The sequence below is a fragment of the Homo sapiens genome, chromosome 7 (genome assembly GCF_000001405.40).
Source record: "Homo sapiens chromosome 7, GRCh38.p14 Primary Assembly".
Classification (NCBI taxonomy): domain Eukaryota; kingdom Metazoa; phylum Chordata; class Mammalia; order Primates; family Hominidae; genus Homo; species Homo sapiens.
The window spans coordinates 132,807,564-132,827,290 of NC_000007.14; the positions used below are offsets into that span (position 1 = coordinate 132,807,564).

General features: G+C 38.7%; 1 protein-coding gene across 4 annotated transcripts in view; it reads right to left on the reverse strand.

The window, feature by feature from the left end:
* CHCHD3 (coiled-coil-helix-coiled-coil-helix domain containing 3) overlaps positions 1-19,727 on the reverse strand; it is a 297,221-nt gene that overhangs the window by 22,694 nt on the left and 254,800 nt on the right. Inside the window, exons 8-9 of one of the 4 annotated variants that reach the window (NR_133671.2) lie at positions 7,912-8,065; positions 5,862-5,998 (exon numbers count right to left, since the gene is read on the reverse strand). The exons of the other annotated variants lie outside the window; for them this stretch is intronic. The gene's annotated coding sequence lies outside the window, so the exon portion shown is untranslated. The remainder of the gene's footprint in view (positions 1-5,861; positions 5,999-7,911; positions 8,066-19,727) is intronic. 4 annotated transcript variants of the gene reach the window in all.

Consider the following 19,727-nt stretch of genomic DNA (forward strand, 5'->3'; position numbering starts at 1 on the left):
TAATTTAAAATCATATACCATGTATATGCTAACATACACATAAATATATATATATATATATATATATATATATATATATATACTTGACATAAATACCTACACTTGATCTTAGCCAAAAGGCTGAGAAATGATTATAAAATATATCTGAAAAAATACACAATTGCAAATAGCAGTTGCTTCCAAGCAGGGGAGTTGGATAGGTGGCCAAAGAGTTATGAAGGAGATTGACTTTTGCATATAATATTTACATTTTCTATCATGTGCATATATTGCTTATCAAGAAATAATGTTCAAAAATATACGGCATTTTATTTATATATATTGTATCCTCCGAGAAATTGCTGTAATGAAGTTTGCTTTTCCCTCTAGATGCCTGGGCACCACAATTCCTAATGGTGATGCCATTTCCACACGTTTTGTGGCACTAAATAGAAAACTGATTGAAAACTTAAAGACGACAGATATGAAATCCCACATGCAAACTCTACACAAAGACCAAAATGTAAGCTGGGAAACAATTCATAATGCTCCCTACATTATCAGCCTTCAGCACAAGTTTGGCACAAACCCTTCTGATTTAGTATCTCAGTAACCTTGTGAGAAAAGACACAGAGAAACCAACACATTATTGAAGTCATGGGGCAAGCCATTGGGTGTGAGGTGTAACACGAGCATTTGGAAAGCCTGGAAGCTTTCTCTATTCATGAAATTGTAAGTTGGCCCCTTCTCTGTCTTTTTAATTGCTCTCTCCCCACCTGCTTTCCACTTTTATTTATAAGTAATTCCCAAAGCTCAGATCTATGTCCCTACTCCTCTTCTACAGTTCCTTGTGAAAGTATTTTCTTTCTTTAGAGGTACTCCTACGACTCTGTTTGTGACTGAAATGGATTTCGAGTCTCTTCACCAGTCAGTAGCTGTGTGATCTTAGGTTTCTTTAGTCTTCAGTTCTTCTATAAAATATACAATCAGTAATCTTAGCCATCTGAAGCCAGGGACTACATCTGACGATCCTTTTAGATTCCTTCTAAGACTCTAAGTATCAACTGGTTATGGTCAATTTATTATTTGTTTTCTTATCCAAACAAGATTTTCCTCCTACTTTTCATCAACAGCAATATTGTTAGCTCATCATCATACATCAATTTTTGGTTCTTTTGTTGTTATTTATTTTCCTTTTTTTTTTTATTATACTTTAAGTTTTAGGGTACATGTGCACATTGTGCAGGTTAGTTACATATGTATACATGTGCCATGCTGGTACGCTGCACCCACTAACTCGTCATCTAGCATTAGGTATATCTCCCAATGCTATCCCTCCCCCCTCCCCCCACGAAACTGGAAATCATCATTCTCAGTAAACTATCGCAAGAACAAAAAACCTTTTTTTAAATTATTATTTTTCTTGAGACAGGATCTCGCTCTATCACCCAGGCTGGAGTGCAGTGCTGTGATCACAGTTCACTGTAGCTTTGACCTCCTGGGCTCAGGTGATCCTCCCACCTCAGCCTCCTGAGTAGCTGGGACTACAGGCGTGTACCACCACACTTGGCTAATTTTTGTGATTTTTTTTTTTTTTTTGCTGAGATGGGGTTTCACCATGTTGCCCAGGCTGGTCTCAAACTTCTGGGCTCAAGTGATCTGCCCTTCTTGGCCTCCCAAAGTACTAGGATATGGCATAAGCCACAGCACCGGCTAATTCTTTATTTTCAAGAAGTCACTGAGATTGTTAGTTCCTGTTTTAAAATACCTTTCACTTTTAACATTCCTCAGTTTCCCATATCCTTACCATAGGCTAAGTTATCACTTCAAGCATACACTACTATTACTTAACTTTCAAATAGTCTATCTGCCTCAGCTGCCTCCTTTTTGTGTTCATCTACACGAATTCTAGTGAATGAATAGCCTGCAAAATGCCAATCTTTCCCAGGAGTCAACAGCATTCTTCCTTCTCCCTCTCCTCCACCTACCAAAGCTAATTTTACTTCCAAAATATTTATCATATCCCCTGCCTCCTCACAAGGTATTACTTGTGATGTTGCAAGAAAGAGTACCCACTGAAATTTCTGTTAAACCACTATTACCTATTCTGGCCTCAAAGTGAAGGACAGATGGTGACATTTGCAAGGTTGTTTTCAAACACAATCTAATATGAACCAGTATAACAGCCGAAGAGCGCAACTGCACATATTCCTAATGTCCATTCCCAAGCTATGTTATACAATTATAAAATCATTCTCTGAATTGATTTTATTTTCTTCTCTTGGATAAGGGCACTATCTACAGCAGCGATAAGTTTCCATAGGAACTAAATTCATTTCAAAAGGTTTGAACATAGAGGCTTTAAAAAAAGTGCTCAAACAACATACGAATTTTGTACATAGTGCCTTGCAGTCTTGAAATCAGAGCATTGTAAATGTTAACCTTTTAATCTCCTGAAAGTCCCTGGAAATGAGAAAATGGTCTCTATTTGGGAAATGGATATGTTTAAGGTAACTGGTAAGGAAAAGAACTTAGAAGGTGAGTTGCTAATTCGTAATATCTCATCTCTAGCATTAAACACAACTAATCACACATGATAACATTATTTACTAATTCTTAGAAAATAAGTGCAGCATGCATCCAAGTAGTTGCTAATATTTTCCTACTTAATATTCCATAAATTAAATATAAAAACTAGAAGAAAATACACCTTCGAAGTATTTTATAGCTAATAAATGTGAGAAGTTCATACGGGTGTATAAGCACACTGAACTGCACGTACCTCTGTGAAGCATCCACACGGTAACTCTGTAATTTGAAAATTCTAACATGTTTCTCTTTTTGTTCTGATTAAATATTCAGTACTGATGCCATAAGAAGGCATTAAATTCCAACATATCCCTTTGTATTATATAAACGGATTTAAGCATTTTACAGAGGACAGGCAAGATTTAGCAAATTGGCTTAACATTCTAGTCTGCTGCTGAGACTAAAATGAACAAGACCAACTACGAAGTATAGAAAACAACAATCTACCACACAGATTCTCCAAATGATTATGATGAGTCTCATACACGAGTATTTCAGAGGTGGAATCTCAATGATTTCTACGTAAAGGGATAATGATATATTACTGTAGGACCAAATAATGCATTTCTCAATTCATGTCTGGATTGGATTCACCATGCTGAGCTCCATTAGTTTTACATCTCCCTAAGGGTTCCAATTCAGCAGTATTAATATATGCCATTACACACAACCCAACCTAAGAATGGCTGCCTTATGACAGCCCCTTAATACTACTCTCCAGTTGAGTATGTCTGGAGAAAAATCACAAAACTAGGGAAACTAGAATCACTATAAATTCACAGGCACTAAATCCTGCCACAATGTTATGGCACTTCTTTGGTAAACTCACTCTCCCCCTATTACTAGGATTATTCATGCCATCTGCAGCCTCCTCAAAAATCTCGCCTGGTTCTTTTCCCTTTCCACCCTTGGCTAATGTGCTGGCCTGTTGTTTCATTGAGAAAAAAAAAATAAACCAAAAGATAACTCCCTCATCTTCCCAACATAAGATCTGGATCTGCACCCATCTTCTTTTCTATTGATACTTTGGAGGAAGAGTGTCTCTCTCATCCAAAGAAAGGCAATCCCTATGCATGGATCCAATTCTTACCTTCCCCCACCCTTGCCTGCTAGTGGGATTTTCTCTCCTGAGATGGTTCTCACCACATTCTGGCATTCTCTAGAACAGTGCTATCCAACAGTGCTTTCTTCAGTGATGGAAATGTACTAAATCTACGCTGTCCCAACATGGTGGTCACACCACCGGTGGCAAGTAAGCACCTGAAATATGACTAGTGCAAACAAAGGAAATGCATGTTAAATTTTACTAAATTTTAATACATTTAAACAGTCATAAGTGGCTAGTGGCTACCATGTTGTTGGAAGCACAGCTCTAGCAAATACCCTTTCAATTTCTGCCTCCACTTCCTTACCTTCCATCCATTCTTTTCTATCCATGCCAAAGTGGCTTTCATTCAACTGTTGGATAGAACTGCTCTTGCTAAAATCAGAGGCCTCTAAGTGGTCAAATCCAATGATTTTTAGTAGACATCTTATAGGACCCGATCAGCACAGACTTGTTCCAGTAAATTGCCCCTTTCTTGAAAAGAGTTTCTTGGCTTCCATAATACTACACTCTCCTGTTTTTCCTCCCGGCTCTCTGGCTCATTGTCTTCTAACTGATCCCTCAATGTTGGAGTTCCTTGGAGTGATGGTCCTGGAGGTCTCTTTGCTCTTCTCTCTCCCCTCTCTCCACAGACACCTCAGCCATTCTCATGGCTTTAAATACCATCTGTGTGTTGGTCGCTATCTAATTTGTATCTCTAGCCCAGCCCTCTTATAGGTGACTGACTATTGCTATTTACGTGGAAGGCATTACAGGTACCACATGTTTAAAACTGAACTAATTCCCTCCTCTACCTCCAATTTATTTTTTTTCTTCCCCATCTCAGTAAATAGACCCTTCAAGATCAGGGAGTTGTCCTTGATACCTCCCCCTTTCCCCCTTTCATTCCCAATATCCATTCTGTCACGTAGTCTAGTCTAAATTCTAATAGATCTAGAATTGACCACTTCCTTTTTTTCTTTTCTTTTTTTTTTTTTTTTTTTTTTTTTTTTGAGATGGAGTCTTGCTGTAGCCCAGGCTGGAATGCAGTGGTGCAATCTCACCTCACTGCAACCTCTGCCTCCTGAGTTCAAGCTGATTCTCCTGCCTCAGCCTCTCCAGTAGCTGGGATTACAGGTGTCCACCACCAAGCCCAGCTATTTTTGTATTTTCAGTAGAGATGGGGTTTCACCATGTTGGCCAGGTTGGTCTCAAACTCTTGACCTCAAGTGATCTACCCATCTCGGCCTCCCAAAATGCTGGAATTACAGGCATGAGCCACCGCGCCTGGCCTGGAATGGACCACTTTGTATTTCCATTGCCATTATCCTAGTCTGAACCACCATAACCACTTGCCTGGACTATTTCAACAGCCTCCCATGTAGTCCCTCTGTTTCCATTTTTGGTCTCTTACCCTCATCTCTACCACAATTCATTATCAAAACAACAACAACCAGAGTGCCCCTTTTAAACCACAAATCTGGTCTCACAACTTCTAGGTTACAACCCTAACTCTTCAAGATTTCCTACCTCTCTTGGGATACATCCAAAATAGTGATTATGACCTACTAGGTCCTACAAGATGTAACCCCTGCCTCCATCTCTCTCTACGACACTTTCTCACAATAGATTTCCCTTCAGAACCCCAAAGGAGCTCAGCTCCTTCCTCAGCGTCTTAACATGCATTGGCCCTGCTGCCCTTCCCCTAATGCCTACTATTTTAGCCTTTATATCAGCTTTAAGAGGTTGTCTCCAATGCCTCACAGTCGATTCCCATGGGACATGCTCTCATAGCATTGACAGCACTTTTCACAATTGCCATTGTCAAGTTATTTGGATGATCAGTTATTTCTCCCATTAGACCAGAAGCTCCAAAAGGGCAGTATTCCCAGTGCTTGTCACATCTGCCAAACACCATCAGCTGCTCAAACCTTTCCCCCTGAGAAGCCACTGGGGTAGCTTCTCCACTTCTCATCAGCACCGTATTAGCCAGTGTATATGTGGGGGAACAAGGCAGACCTGTGAAGAAGAGTGGCCAAACTACACATGTTCTTAACATCCCAACTGGAATCGAGAACCAATTTCCCAATAAATACTTAAGTTCTAGAATACAGTCAATACTTATGTTTTAGCCATTTACTGTGATGGTTAAAAACACAGGATCTAGCATCTAAAATATGCATATCCAAAACGGGGGTCTACTTCTTACTTGCAGTGGAAGCTTGGGCAAGTTTCTTGATCTCTCTAAGATGCAAATTTTTCCTCATTTCCTACTGTTTAACATTGTTGTGAAGATTAGTAAGATAACGTTTAAGCTCTCCACACAGTGTCTGGCACTGAGTAAGCCTGTAATAAATGGTAGCTGTTGTTATTATTAATACACATTTATTGTTAATATATTTCTGCAGGTTATTCTGGGAACCTACCCATTTGTTATCATCTTCTTTCCAAAGAAAAATGAGCTGCTATTTTCAAACAGCCAACTTAAAAACCAAGTTTTAGAATACGATACATCTGAGAGTTGGTAACTGCTCATGAAGCTTGAAGGTACCCACAAAGTGTTCAGGTGGTGGAGAAAGAGGAGGGCTGCTGCATGTGTTTTTGATGAAGGGATTAAAAAGCTGTACTCATGTTAAAAATCACGCCTCCAGCATGGGGTACATAATGAACATAAACCTACATATCTTTTCTTTCCCCAAGTACGTGCTCACGGGGAGCAACAGTCCACCCTATGAATAAATGGAATTGTATTTGAAGTAATTACACTTGGCATAGATTTACCCACTGCTGGTGGCAGGGCTGCTACTTGTGACTAAGCAGTGAGGGGAACTCAACAGAATTGATGGCAAACGGCTTTAATTTGCCTTAATAGTAGCAAAATCTCGCCTAAGACAAGTTGGACGTTTCAAGAATAATAAACCCACACAGTTAAAGTTCTATTACTGTTAAACCAGTATTCAAACAGGCCAGAAACTGGTTTTCAGCCTCTTTTTGTGAGTTTTCTGTATCTTTAAGGTCATACATGTTATTTTGTGAAGCCACGCTAGCAGTCTTCTGGAGGAGGCCTAGACATGCCGGTGTTACTAAAATGTTGGGTAACATTTCAGTTTATTCATGTTGTGAGGTCTGTCCCTTCCCCTACCCCATACTCCCAAAAGCTTTAACCACCAAAGGACATTTAGAAATAATAGGGAGAAATGTGAAAGTGCTAATGATGATTTCATTTTCAAATGGTCTTAAATTGACAGGTAATGACAGCACTGCCTGTAATGGCCTTGTAGCCAACTCATAAGCAGGAATGGGGAAGAAGATGGACTAGGAGGATTCTCCTTTCTATAAATGCACCATGGCTGAATGCAAAGAAAACCCAGATAAAATTAAAGGTCTTCCCTGTGCCTGAGTGACTGGCCTTTGTGAAGGATGAGTGAGAAACTGAAGCCTTACACATCATAAAATCACAGTATGTGTGGATTGATTACCATTCAGAAGTTAATTACACATTACTAAATTATTATGTGAAAAGCCTGTAAAATCTGGAGTTTTGTCAAATCAGATCATATGTCATATCATATATCATATCATGGTACTAGAGGTATGTAATGGCTGTGGCTATACAGCAGACCATGAAACTGAAATTTTAGACTTGTTGGCCTAATTTAATCAATGTCAACTGTCAAATAGGAGGATTATGGCCAGCAACTCCAATATGAGCTAGGACTGAAGACCCTGAAAGAGAAAGACTTAAGTACTGCTCAGGATGATAACTTTCGTTTAAGGTCTGAATAACTGGTTTTGTTATCTAAATTGAATAGCATAATGAGATAATTTTTATCACAACCACATACTGTATAATGAAATAAAGCAATGAGAGCATTTTATCAAGGCATTTCAACGTGATGGCAAATCAATTATAATATTAATTTTTATCAGACACCATCAAATCCAGCCACTTTTAGATCTCCAATATTGGTTATAAGTGCCAACATTTAGACTGAAAGAACTGTTTAACAGATGGAGCATTTCCTTCTTCCAGTATTTAGGAGTGAGGCCATCTGACTGAAGTCTTATTTCCCTGCTTATAAACTAAGGCCTTTGCCCAGGAGACTATTTCAAAAATGTACCAAAGGTTAATATGTTTGCATATATTACAAATGCTAAGCAAAATGGAATGTTAATATATTCTCTTATTAATTACAAAGGAAATGGCAGGAATGACTGCACATAAAGGACATTTTACCAGTTGTTCTTACTCTGATTACCTTTTAGGTCCCTGCAAATGCCAGTCACAGTTTCACTGGTGCTCAGGTTGCCTGAAATGAGGGAGAAGTAACGAGTTCTCCTACTAGGAGCCATACTGGGACAAGAGGTAACAAAATAAAGAGTCCTGTTTTGTGATATTTCATTTCACCAAACCTGCTGGTAGGAAAAAAAGTGAAAAGAGAACAGAGAAAAGATATGAAAATTGCATTATACAGTCCTTTAGGCTTTCGTCCTTCTTTTTTCCTTCTCTCTCTTCCTCCTTTCTCTCCCCTTCCCCAACCAGATCCTTCCTATTTCTGGTTTACGCACCGTCAGTCAAGGGTTGAACAAATTTTTATATATGCTTCTAAAGCAGGAGTAGCAAATACAAAGGAAAAATGCCTACTCATTCAATGCTTAAGCCAGTGACAGACATCACTAATCAATCTTGACATTCTTTCAGGCTGAGTCTGTCATAGCCTCCGAATCCTTTTCAATGAAATACTGCAGGGAGCCACCACGATCAATTGGAGTTGGTGCCTGAAACAAAATTTATTTGCCTTTCCTTGCACTAGACTTTTCCCTAGTGTTCTATCTTTAGCATTGGGTTGGACTTTCTTGGTTCGGCACTTTCTTATGGTCATGTAGTTCAGACTGGGCATTTTGTCAAGTTGAAATTCATGAGAAGCCTGGCTCTCTTCCAATAAGCACCTTGCCATACAAAATCCACAGTTTCTGAAAATAATAGAGATCAGATAATGCCCCTTTCTGGCTCAATCCACATCCTCTAAAAGGGAAGCAAAGCCAGGAAAAAAAATCATCTGGGCTTAGCAGTCTCTTTCTTCACTTTCTGGAGTAAAAGAGTTGGCCTCTATTAATGTTTGAGCCTTGATCTTAGCTATGTCTGTTTTTAAAGCTGATTTGAGGTTCAGATTTAGCATTTACCCTTTCAAAAAGTATCTGTTTAAAAGAAAGTTTTATGACAGTCACTAGATTGCCTTTATGAGCATTTTAGGAGTACCTTCCCCATATATTAACCCACTGGCTCATTTGGCTTCATAGTTAATTGCACGATCTCTCCAGAAAGTCCTTAATGACACCATCTCACATCCAACCTTCATAATTTAGCTCCCCCCAAATCCGAGAGCAGGGCTTCCCAGGCACCATCTTACTGCCATTGTGGGCCAAATGTGATTCTCCCCAGCTGCTGCTGTGCCTCCTCCTTTATGGCAGCGGCTTGCCTGATCACTCCAAGCCATTCCAGGAACCAGAAGACTTCCAGGCAAGAAGAGGCTATTAGATGCAACCTGCTTGGGCCAGGGCCATATTCTGCTACCAGTGATAACTAATGCATGCTTCTGCTGGTATTTTTTCATTCTATTGCTTGAGAGGATTGCCTCCCACATTTGCACAAAGGATTTCCCTAGATAAAGAAGATCCGAGAACGGCCAAATCTTGCCAGAATTCAATAAATGGCATACAAAAGCCTGAAAAAAAACCCTGGAATATCAAAATGGAAGTAGGTTCAACTATGACAAATGTGGCTGCCTGAAAAACAGACAAGAGACACAAAGGGCATCCCTGTCTTCTCTGTCTTTACCTGGGAACTAAAAGAAAGATGGCGATTTCTCTGTACACGTGCTGGTCTGTAACCTCCACAGCTGCCAGCTCTAAAGAAAAGGGCAGCACTCATCTGCTTTATGAAGAGTTGAAAAGATTCATGTAATTTTCCTGGGGTCCCAAGCTTTCTTTCTTTTTTTTTTTTGGGCATTACCCATAATGTATTTGTCCATGGGATAAACTGAGATGCCTTCCCCCAACAATTACATTTGCTTAAAGGAAAACACAGCTGCCTTCCTTGAATATTAAGATGCAACTGGGACTAGTGAGACCAAAGATTTCAAAGGGAAGGAAAGTTTTTATAGCATAAAAGATACTCTATTATATCAAAGTGCATTGAGATTAAAAAAAAAATGAGGCAAAGTGATGACTATTCTCCTTAGGGACAAAAGGTCCAATTGAGAAAGAAGCTCTAGGTGCCACTTTCCAGAAGAGCCACCTGCCACTACTTGGAGCTATTGCAGATATTCAGGAGTCAGAATTTCAGACTCCTGCCACCTCTGGGGTTCATGGGGGAGACTGTGCACACATGTCTCCCCTGAGGCAAAGCCAACAGGTAATTACTCGATCACTGACACCTTGGGATAACTGAACATGAAATCAATTTCTTAATGGTTCTCTCTTAAAGAACCAGCATCACACTGCTAGCTACTGCACCTGTAGTCCCAGCTACTCAGGAGGCTGAGACAGGAGGATCACTTGACCCAGGAGGATCACTTGACCCAGGAGGTCCACTTGACCCAGGAGGTCAAGGCTGCAGTGAGCTATGATCATGCCACTGTATTCCAGCCTGAGTGACAGAGTGAGACCCTGTCTCAAAAAAAAAATAAAAATAAAAATAAAAGAAAGAAAGAAAGAAAAAAGGAAAGCTTTGGAGAAATATGTGCTAACCCAAGCAAAAGCAAGTGAGTCACCCATTCCTTTGGGAGTGTATTATATTGCTATGAGGGCCCACCCCAGCCAAACTATGGAAAGTAGCAAGAGATGATGCTGAACCTAATTACCATTAGTTATTATTTGCTATGGTTACAATTGCACCGAATAACGCTGCTGCCAGCAGTGCTGTTTTATGTGATATCTTCTTCATGTGGCAACCTTTTCATAAATCAAAGCAAAAGCCAATACCAGACAGTTTCTTGTACAGCCTGCCTGACAATAAAAGTTAACACTGAACCTTAGCTGTTATCAATCTTCATAAATGTGTCCACGACGTGGCAAGACTGCTCCACATTACGGTGGGGCTGCCACTAATGCAAGCAAGGTAGTGACCCACTAGGTTAATGGGACTTGACAATCAGTCCAGTTTTAATTGAGCCAGAAAAAGGAATGGTTCTCTTATCCTTAAAGTACACAGGAATTTTCTCCTCTATGTCTTAGTTTCATCAGTGCTTTGCTCAGAAAATGCCTATAATTAATATAGACTGGTATAACAGACAATAGAAACCTCATGGGGGAAAGTGGGTGGGTAGGCTTTTATAAGAAGAAAACTTGTTATGAAGTATTTAATTGGTGTTCTTGATAGACAGTTACCTGACTTGAAGATGCTGTGTTTTCAAGTTGAAATTTCAAACTAGAAAATATATAAATCTGTCTACATGAACAGAAGCAAAAAAAACAGTCCTTAAAAATAGCAAAAGTCAACAAATTTTTAATATCAATAACTTTCCCTTGACAAAAATTCACACTATATAGAAATCTGAACTGAAGGAATTCCCAATTAATGACAAGTCTTAATGTAATAAATACTCCATCATGTTTTGAATTTTGCTATAGTCTTAATTATCCTATTGATACCGTCAAGAGAAAAGCCCAGCTTCTATCTGGCATGTACTAGAGATGAACTCTGGCAATTAGCTAATGTCCAACAAAAATCAGCCCTGTATTAACAGCCTGTAATGAAGACCATTAACAGCCAGATAAATCAAACCATTAGGCCAGACACAGAGATGTCAACATAGCCACAGGCACCTAATTTGCTGAATGCATTTATTTAAATATGTATTATCCAAGCACAGTATATATGCCAGGTGCTTGGGCAGATCGATAAAGAGGATAAAATACAATTCCTGCCCTCAAGAAGGTTTCAGTTCAACTAAGAATGAGATTCACATGCTGTTAACTAGACTATAACCTTGGCAATGGGCCCTTCAAACTCCCAAGTCTATAATTCTTAGTTTTTAGACAACAGTTTCCTCTAGTGTAAATTCAGAGCTATATTAGATCCCTTTCAGAGTAAAAACACTCTTATTTGCACCTGTGAGTGAGTTAGCCCAGGCTTTTAAATCCAGAATGTAGTTTAAATGCACACACACGAGAAAACGCACTTTTTTTTTTCTTTTTGCTTTTTTTGTTGCCCCTAACCTCTAGTCTTCCATTCTGAACTGCAGGAGTCTAAGTTAAGAAGCATGGACATTTTATAAGAGTTCAATTTAGTAGATGGAAATATTGATACTAATTGAGCACCTGTTAGAGAGAGGCATGCTCCCATCAAGCTGGCTCAGATACAGCTTGTACCTTAAACGGTTCACACTTGAGAAGGGAGATGGGGCACAGGCAACACTGATGCCACTTACATTGTCATAAGGGCTGGAGTGACATAAACACACAGGGAACAATTAATTAATTATGGCTTTTTAGTAGGAAGGGAGGTGTCTAGAAAGACTTTACAGAGAAAGCAGAGGAATTAACACATGAGACAGGTCCTAACAAAAGGCTGAGTTTATCGGGAGGAAGGTGGTGAAGGTGAGGTGTGCTGTGGCTGTGCTGCGGGGGCAGCGTGAGCCGGGCCAAAGCGTGAGTGCGGAAGGCCTTCCCTCCCTTTAGTGAATGAACACTGAAGTGCATGAGAAAAGATGGCAAAAGATCAGCCCAGGAGGTATCCAAGGTTATTTTCATAATGTGGTTTAATATTTAAAGTTTTGGCTGTTTGTCCCAACTTCTATATTATGATTTATTAGATAATGTCGATTATTTAACTTTGAAGCAGAAACTTATTTCGCTTTTAATCATTTGGATCAGATTGATGGATGAGCATCTTGTGGTTGCAAGGCAAGCTGTTAAAAAAAAAAGTTATTATTTGCCACTACTTATCACCACAAATCAGGATCATCGTAACACTCAACCAAACACATAACTTTGGCTGTTGGGACTGATATAGGACTGCAGCCATCATCCTTGGCCCCTAATTTTTAAATGTTGTATTCATAAAAATAAGCTTCATTGTTCTCTTCATAATGAGCAAAGGTTGTAAGTAAGCTTATAAACTAGAGTAATAGTATTAAGATAGCATATTATCAGTTGTGGGTATTAGGATTCCGCTAACTGCTAACAAAAAATGTTTGAAAACAACAGGAGGGACTGGAAGGGAGGGAGGCTTCTCTTTGCTATGGCTTCCGCATCCCTTTCTCACTCTCTATAGGAATTTATCTCCTTTCATAGAAACAAGGCTGCACCTGTGATTGAGTTAGCCCAGGCTTTTAAATCCAGAATGTAGTTTAAACACACATGTATGCACAAACATGGGAAAATGTGCTAGTGTTTTTTTTTTTTTTTTTTTTTTTTTATTGCCCCTAACATCTAGTCTTCTTTTCTGAACTGCAGGGGTTAAACGGGCTTTTGGGGACTAATCTAGACACTTAGCCACACTGTCCTTTTTACTTCTGGAAAAAAAAATATATATATGGCCCAAATGCTGAGCAAGTGACTACAGAACACGTTAGGAAGAATCTTGTTTGTTCAGTATACACTACCAACCTATCGTTGTCTAGAATCTCAAGTGAAGAAAAATATTCTAAAACTATGACAAGGTTTTAGGTGAGAACTATATCATGAACTAACAATGGCTGCATTTTGTCTGAGCATACCATTGCGTATGTATGTCTAACCACATTATGTAGTTCTCATGTAGCATATTAAAACAGAATTATTATTTTGAGTAGTGCTGCTAACTGTTGGTTAATAATTTGACAGAAAGCATTTACCTTTAAACACATGCTTTTAAGAGGCCTGGTATACTCAATTGTAATTTTATTGCGTTCAAGAATTATCCTCTAGGGAAATATATATTAGATCATATGATGAGCATCAATTAAAAAAACACAAAATTCACCCAACAGAAAATTCAACTATTGTGACTACAGTAATTATTAATAGCTCACTATTCACTGCTTAGGATATGCTAAAAACATAAATGGACCTCATTTAATTCCAATATAACAGCTCTGTTATTACCATTTCACAGATATAAAATCTAAGACTGTGGGGTTTGGGTGGGGTGGAAAATGAGAAGTAACTTGCTAGAATAGGTCTACTGAATGATGTGAAGAATATCTATAAACATTATATTCAGTAAACATTTTAACATGTGGATACTTATTATTTCATTGTACCTATATTGACATTATGGCGTGGAAAAATGAAGAGAAGTCCTAATAAACTTAAAAAGAAATCAGGAAGACCAGGAACCACAGACGAGAGAAAATAAGCATATTTTCTGGTAGATGCTACAGCAAAACTTGTAGTATATTAAACATTTGCTCTTTCTTACGTCTACTTCCTAGATACTGTAGCATATAAAGGTAGAATTTTATGACATGAAGTACAAATAGATGTATCATTAATAAGAATGGATCAGCCCTTCTGAAGAACGTGGCCAAAAGCTTAGCACTCAAATCTTTTTTTTTTTTTTTTTTTTTTTTTTGAGACGGAGTCTCGCTCTGTCGTCCAGGCCGGACTGCGGACTGCAGTGGCGCAATCTCGGCTCACTGCAAGCTCCGCTTCCCGGGTTCACGCCATTCTCCTGCCTCAGCCTCCCCAGTAGCTGGGACTACAGGCGCCCGCCACCGCGCCCGGCTAATTTTTTGTATTTTTAGTAGAGACGGGGTTTCACCTTGTTAGCCAGGATGGTCTCGATCTCCTGACCTCATGATCCACCCGCCTCGGCCTCTTTTAAAGATCCCAGCCTAATGCACTTTCTGGAGCAACAATCCTATTTTCTTTGCATCATCAAGTTCTGAGGATGTATTTTTCATTTGTCTTGTCGTCTGTTAGAAAAGGTGAAGATGTGTATACATTTTGGTTTTCAATTCTCCTATTATATCAGCTTCTCAGCGCTTCACTTTCCAAATGTTCAAAAGAGGTATGGATTGACATTTCTGCCAAAGGACAATTTTTTGCTCTGTAGTTTTTCTCAGAGTTAATGGAAAAAGTTCTGCCACTAATGTTTTCAATTCACCTCTAGGGAATTACAAACTAGCAGCAAAAGCTGCAAAGGTTGTGCCAAAATGCAGTATTTTTAAATTATACAAGTCAAAAAAGCCTATAATTTTCACAAAACATGATTTCCTTTTTTTTAATTTAAAAAAAAAAGTCTTGGGAGGCCAATTTTTGATTCATATTGTGATACAACTTCTAAGGTTAAATAACCTGGGCCCTGACTCTTAACTACTAGATCCCTAAAAGAAACTGACCTGTATAGAGTTGAGTACCTACTATATGCCCAGAATTTTACCCACATTTCATTAACCCTTATTAACAACCCATGAGGTATTATATGTACATGTCCTATATCAGCAAAAAGAAGATCAAGAGTTAAGTAGCTTAATGCTACACAGTTGGAAGGAACAGTCACAATTCAAACCCCATCCATGTTACGGAAATAAAAGTACCAGTTCCTTAGGGTTTAGGTATGAGTTTGTTTCGCTGCAGCCTTCTTCTGCACTATCCGCCCCCACCGCGCCCCCCACCAAAAACAAAACAAAACAAAACAAAACAAAACAAAAAACCAAAACCAATCACTTGAAAGAAACTTTCAGTAGAGGACTACAGACCAATCCTATGAGGCATGATGCAGCTATTTAGAAGAATGAGTTGGATTTAAAAGAAGGCGTTGAATTTATGTGTTGACCCAGGGGGATGTATCCATAATAAATATAAGTTAAAATACGTATGGTATAGTCTTACACTCTGTGAAAACAAAACAAAATCTATGTTTATTAACATATCTACTCATAGAGATAAATGTGAAAGGCTAAATATCAAACTGCAACTTCACATGCTTTACTTTTAAAAGGTTGATCTGGAAAAGAAAAGAGGAGTAAAATTACATTTCCCTTGTTACAAGAAAAAAAATACTTCCTTGATAAATTAAAAGAGAAAAAAATCTAATACATTAGTTCCCCTTTATCCATGGGGGATACATTCTAAGATATCTAGTGGATGCCTGAAACCATGAATAGTACTTAACTTTAGATAAACTATGTTTTTTCCTACACATACCTCTATGATAAAGTTTAATTTATAACTTAGGCACAGTAACAGACTAACAACAAGAATAATAAAATATAACAATATACTAGAATAAAAGTTATGTGAATGTAGTCTTTCAGTATCTTATTGTACTCTGCAAAAAGCAAAATTGCAGATAAGGGGGGCCACCTGTATTATTTATCAATTTCATATCCTTTTCGCTACAGTAAGTCTCCAGGAAGGATATCAAAAGAGAAAAGTTGTTCATAAAATTCAATGGGAAGGAGAGAGAATACTTTAAAAGGCTCATTTAATAATCAAGTGGACTAGCAATAGAAAATTTGCCTAGTAAGTGAGCTAATTTTATCTATTTTGGGCACATTCAATCAGAATTATAGACATAAATTAAAAATTAGACATCCAGATAAAACACATCTGAATAAACCACATACGTTTGTCTCTCACACATTCATTGCAATGACACAAAGAACCTGGTACCTTGTGAATTCTTAGGACACCATTCAAAGATATCATAGCTAGGAGTAATGAAAACTAATCATATACCATTTCAATTGGTATGAAAAGATGAGGCTCTTTTTCTGCCTAATGCCCTAGGACTTCCCCAGGCAACATCCTATGAACCCAATCTTTCCTCAACTCTCTCCTCCCCACCTTTTTAATCAGAACTAATCTTTACTATGTTCCGTCCTTTCAAGTCCCTGAACTTTGCTCTCAATCAATATGGCAAGCTAATATGTGGTTATTTTTGAGTGGACATTAGTATATTAAGAGTGATAGTCATTAATTTGGTGCAGTAAACTCTAATTATCATATAATAAACGTATACAACATCTATGCACCCAATATTATATTGTATTATTTGATAGAAGACTTCCAGAAACAATGACCAACTCAAAAGGCATAATCCTAGTGGTGACAATTATGGGGACCAGGGATAGGTGAAAGAAAAAAATATTCCCAAGTAGTAGAACTCTTTTTTTTTTTTTTTTTTTTTTGAGACGGAGTCTCGCTCTGTCGCTCAGGCTGGAGTGCAGTGGCATGATCTCGGCTCACTGCAAGCTACGCCTCCTGGGTTCACGCCATTCTCCTGCCTCAGCCTCCCCAGTAGCTGGGACAACAGGTGCCCGCCACCACGCCAGGCTAATTTTCTGTTTAGTAAAGACAGGGTTTCACCATGTTAGCCAGGATGGTCTCGATTTCCTGACCTTGTGATCTGCCTGCCTCGGCCTCCCAAAGTGCTGGGATTACAGGCATGAGCCACCACGCTCGGCCACCAAGTAGGTAGAACACTTGGTTGAATCTTTATGCCCTATTAACTCTGCCTTTTAAAATACGGCATTTCAAGTTCTTCAAGTCTGACTCCAGTCTTGCTTTGTGGTCTCATATTCCACTAGACCTCTCCCACACTGTTTCAGCCATTTTCACTATTCAATGCCCTCTTCATAGCAAGGCCATTCTCCCTCTTCTTACCTTAAGAAAATCTCAAGATGAGAAGATCCAGCTTATGCCAGTCACCTCTTCATGCAATCCAGATTCCCCTGGGATTCCGAACCTCCTAGTCCTACTGCATTTTATGGTTTGTACCTTCATGTTAGCATTTAACATGTTTTGGTCACTTTTTATATTCCCAACTTATAACAACCATATGGAATGTATAAGATACTCAAAATTTTTCACGAACAAATCTTTTAGTAATAATTCCTGCATCAAGTTTTGATGCTTCTGCAGTCGAGCTAATGATCCCAATGAGTATAAGCCCTCTGAGGGCAGGGACTCAAACTGATATGTCTGTATTTTCAGGGCCCATAGAACATGGAACATCAAAGAGACCCTTGATGAATGTATGTGTTAATACTGAGGATGGTAAGTTCTTCAAAGCAAAATTGTTGCATTAATATCTTTAAAAAAATAGATATATGCCATTGAGCTCACTAGGGGAAGAAACCAAACAAATAAGGACAGGGTGTCGGAATTCACTAACAGAAAAGAACTCCCAAGACAGAAAGAGTCAAAATAGGTCTGCTGGCAATATCCAACAACTCAAGTTCAAAGACTTCAAAAACAGCCCCAAACCAACACCCAACTAACCAAACCAAAACCACAAATGACTTAAGTCATGACAAAGCATTTGGTTCCCACTTCTTGTCAATTAACCAGGATGTCTTAAAGATGAATTCTATACCAGCAATGCTAATTTTCTTCATTACACTAGCGTCTTTTGTATTGGAGAAACACTATCAGGAAAAGACAAGAACTGGTTGATTATGAGCAGTATCAAATGAGCTGTAATGGAGGTGTTACGAATGTAAATCAGCGAAGCCTGATGCAGAAAACAGCAGCATCTGGGCATGCAGCTTGCAAAGTAATGAGACTGTGATAATGCACTACCACCCAGCTTTGATCACTTCATCTTGTTCAAGAGCTCTGCTTGGGAAACAAAGGTGTGAGGCATTGACCTCCTGCCCACAGCTTGCACAAGCACAAAACATGGTAACAGATCAAGGATCGATACCCTTCTCTCTTCTCCTCCTTGCCAACACACCCCTTTTTCAGAACTGATGGCTTCATAGTTGGAGGCCCAGCATAAAGCAGGCCAAGCAAGCTTCTACCATATGAAGCGTCTGTCTGAACATGTCTACTATAATTGGCAATTCATTTTTCATCCTGAAAGCAGGAACAGGTGTATGCTACCTTCGACATTCCAATCATAAACCATGCTGAATGCATCTCTCACATAGTCAGCTTTGTTGAGATCTATGCCAGTGGCTAGCCGGTGGACTTCAGAGTCTGCATAGATGGCTCTGCCTCACAAATGAATAGGCACTTGTGTAATCTCAGATGCTCAAGAGAACAAGAGGAGGAGCAAATGGCAGTGCATAAAAAATTAAAAATCTCACCACACAGCAGCAGCCCTTGGTTTTTCTTGTGTAAATAATGTAATTGGCAAATAGCTTACTTCTTTGTAATTGCAATATCCCTACAATGCATGTTTAACATACTAAAAAAGGAGGTTTTAGTCCTTGAAAAGGAGTATAAAGCCAGATGTATCACTGCACAGTGTTTCTTGCCAGCTTCATCCAGAAACACTAGCTGAGGTGACTTGTGAAACAGAGCCAAGAGCAAGAACTCTCCTTAATGAGCACATTTATCAGTTTTCCAGGGACTCGGTTGATTACCAGCATTTAGACATACACACTCACAAAAGGAACACAGCAATTTAACTATTGGCCACTGAATGGGAAAGCACATGAAATAATTTAAGGCAGGCATGTGAGCAAGTTGGGGATGCTTGGCGACACTAACATATGAACATGTGTGCTTTCATTTCAACATGTAAGGAAGGGCCAAGACGCAAGCTTTTACAAGTTTTCAAGCATTCTGCCAGGACTCAATAAATAGTATGAACAAATTACTGCATATGATTATTATATTGAAAAGTACCAGTGCTACTGTACAAATGTTTCATTCACAAATACTGCCTTTGAAATCCCTTTATCAAAAGTAATTTTCAAACCTTATCCAAGCCTACCTACAAGGTCCTAGGTTGAAGAGGAGGAGAGTACAACAGGCAAATGTAACTTAATGGGGGGAAAAAAGACTGATTCTTTAAGAAAATAAATAAATGAAATACAAGCAAGATTTATCCCTCTCTATTTCTACAGTAATAAAATACTCTGAATGAACAGCCCTGACTCTGAGATAAGGGATTCAAATTCTAATGAAAAAAATATGATTATGGATAGGATTAGGAATCCTACATTTAAGACTGTGATTAAATTGAAGAAGCATTTTATCTAGGACAAATTACAGATAGAAACTGGGAATTCCCAATATTTGGGGTATATTTTTTCTTAATTTAGGGTGTTTTAGGTATAATTAACACACAGGTTGAGTATCCTTTATTTGAAATGCTTGGGAATGGAAGTGTTTTTGAATTTGGGTTCTGGAA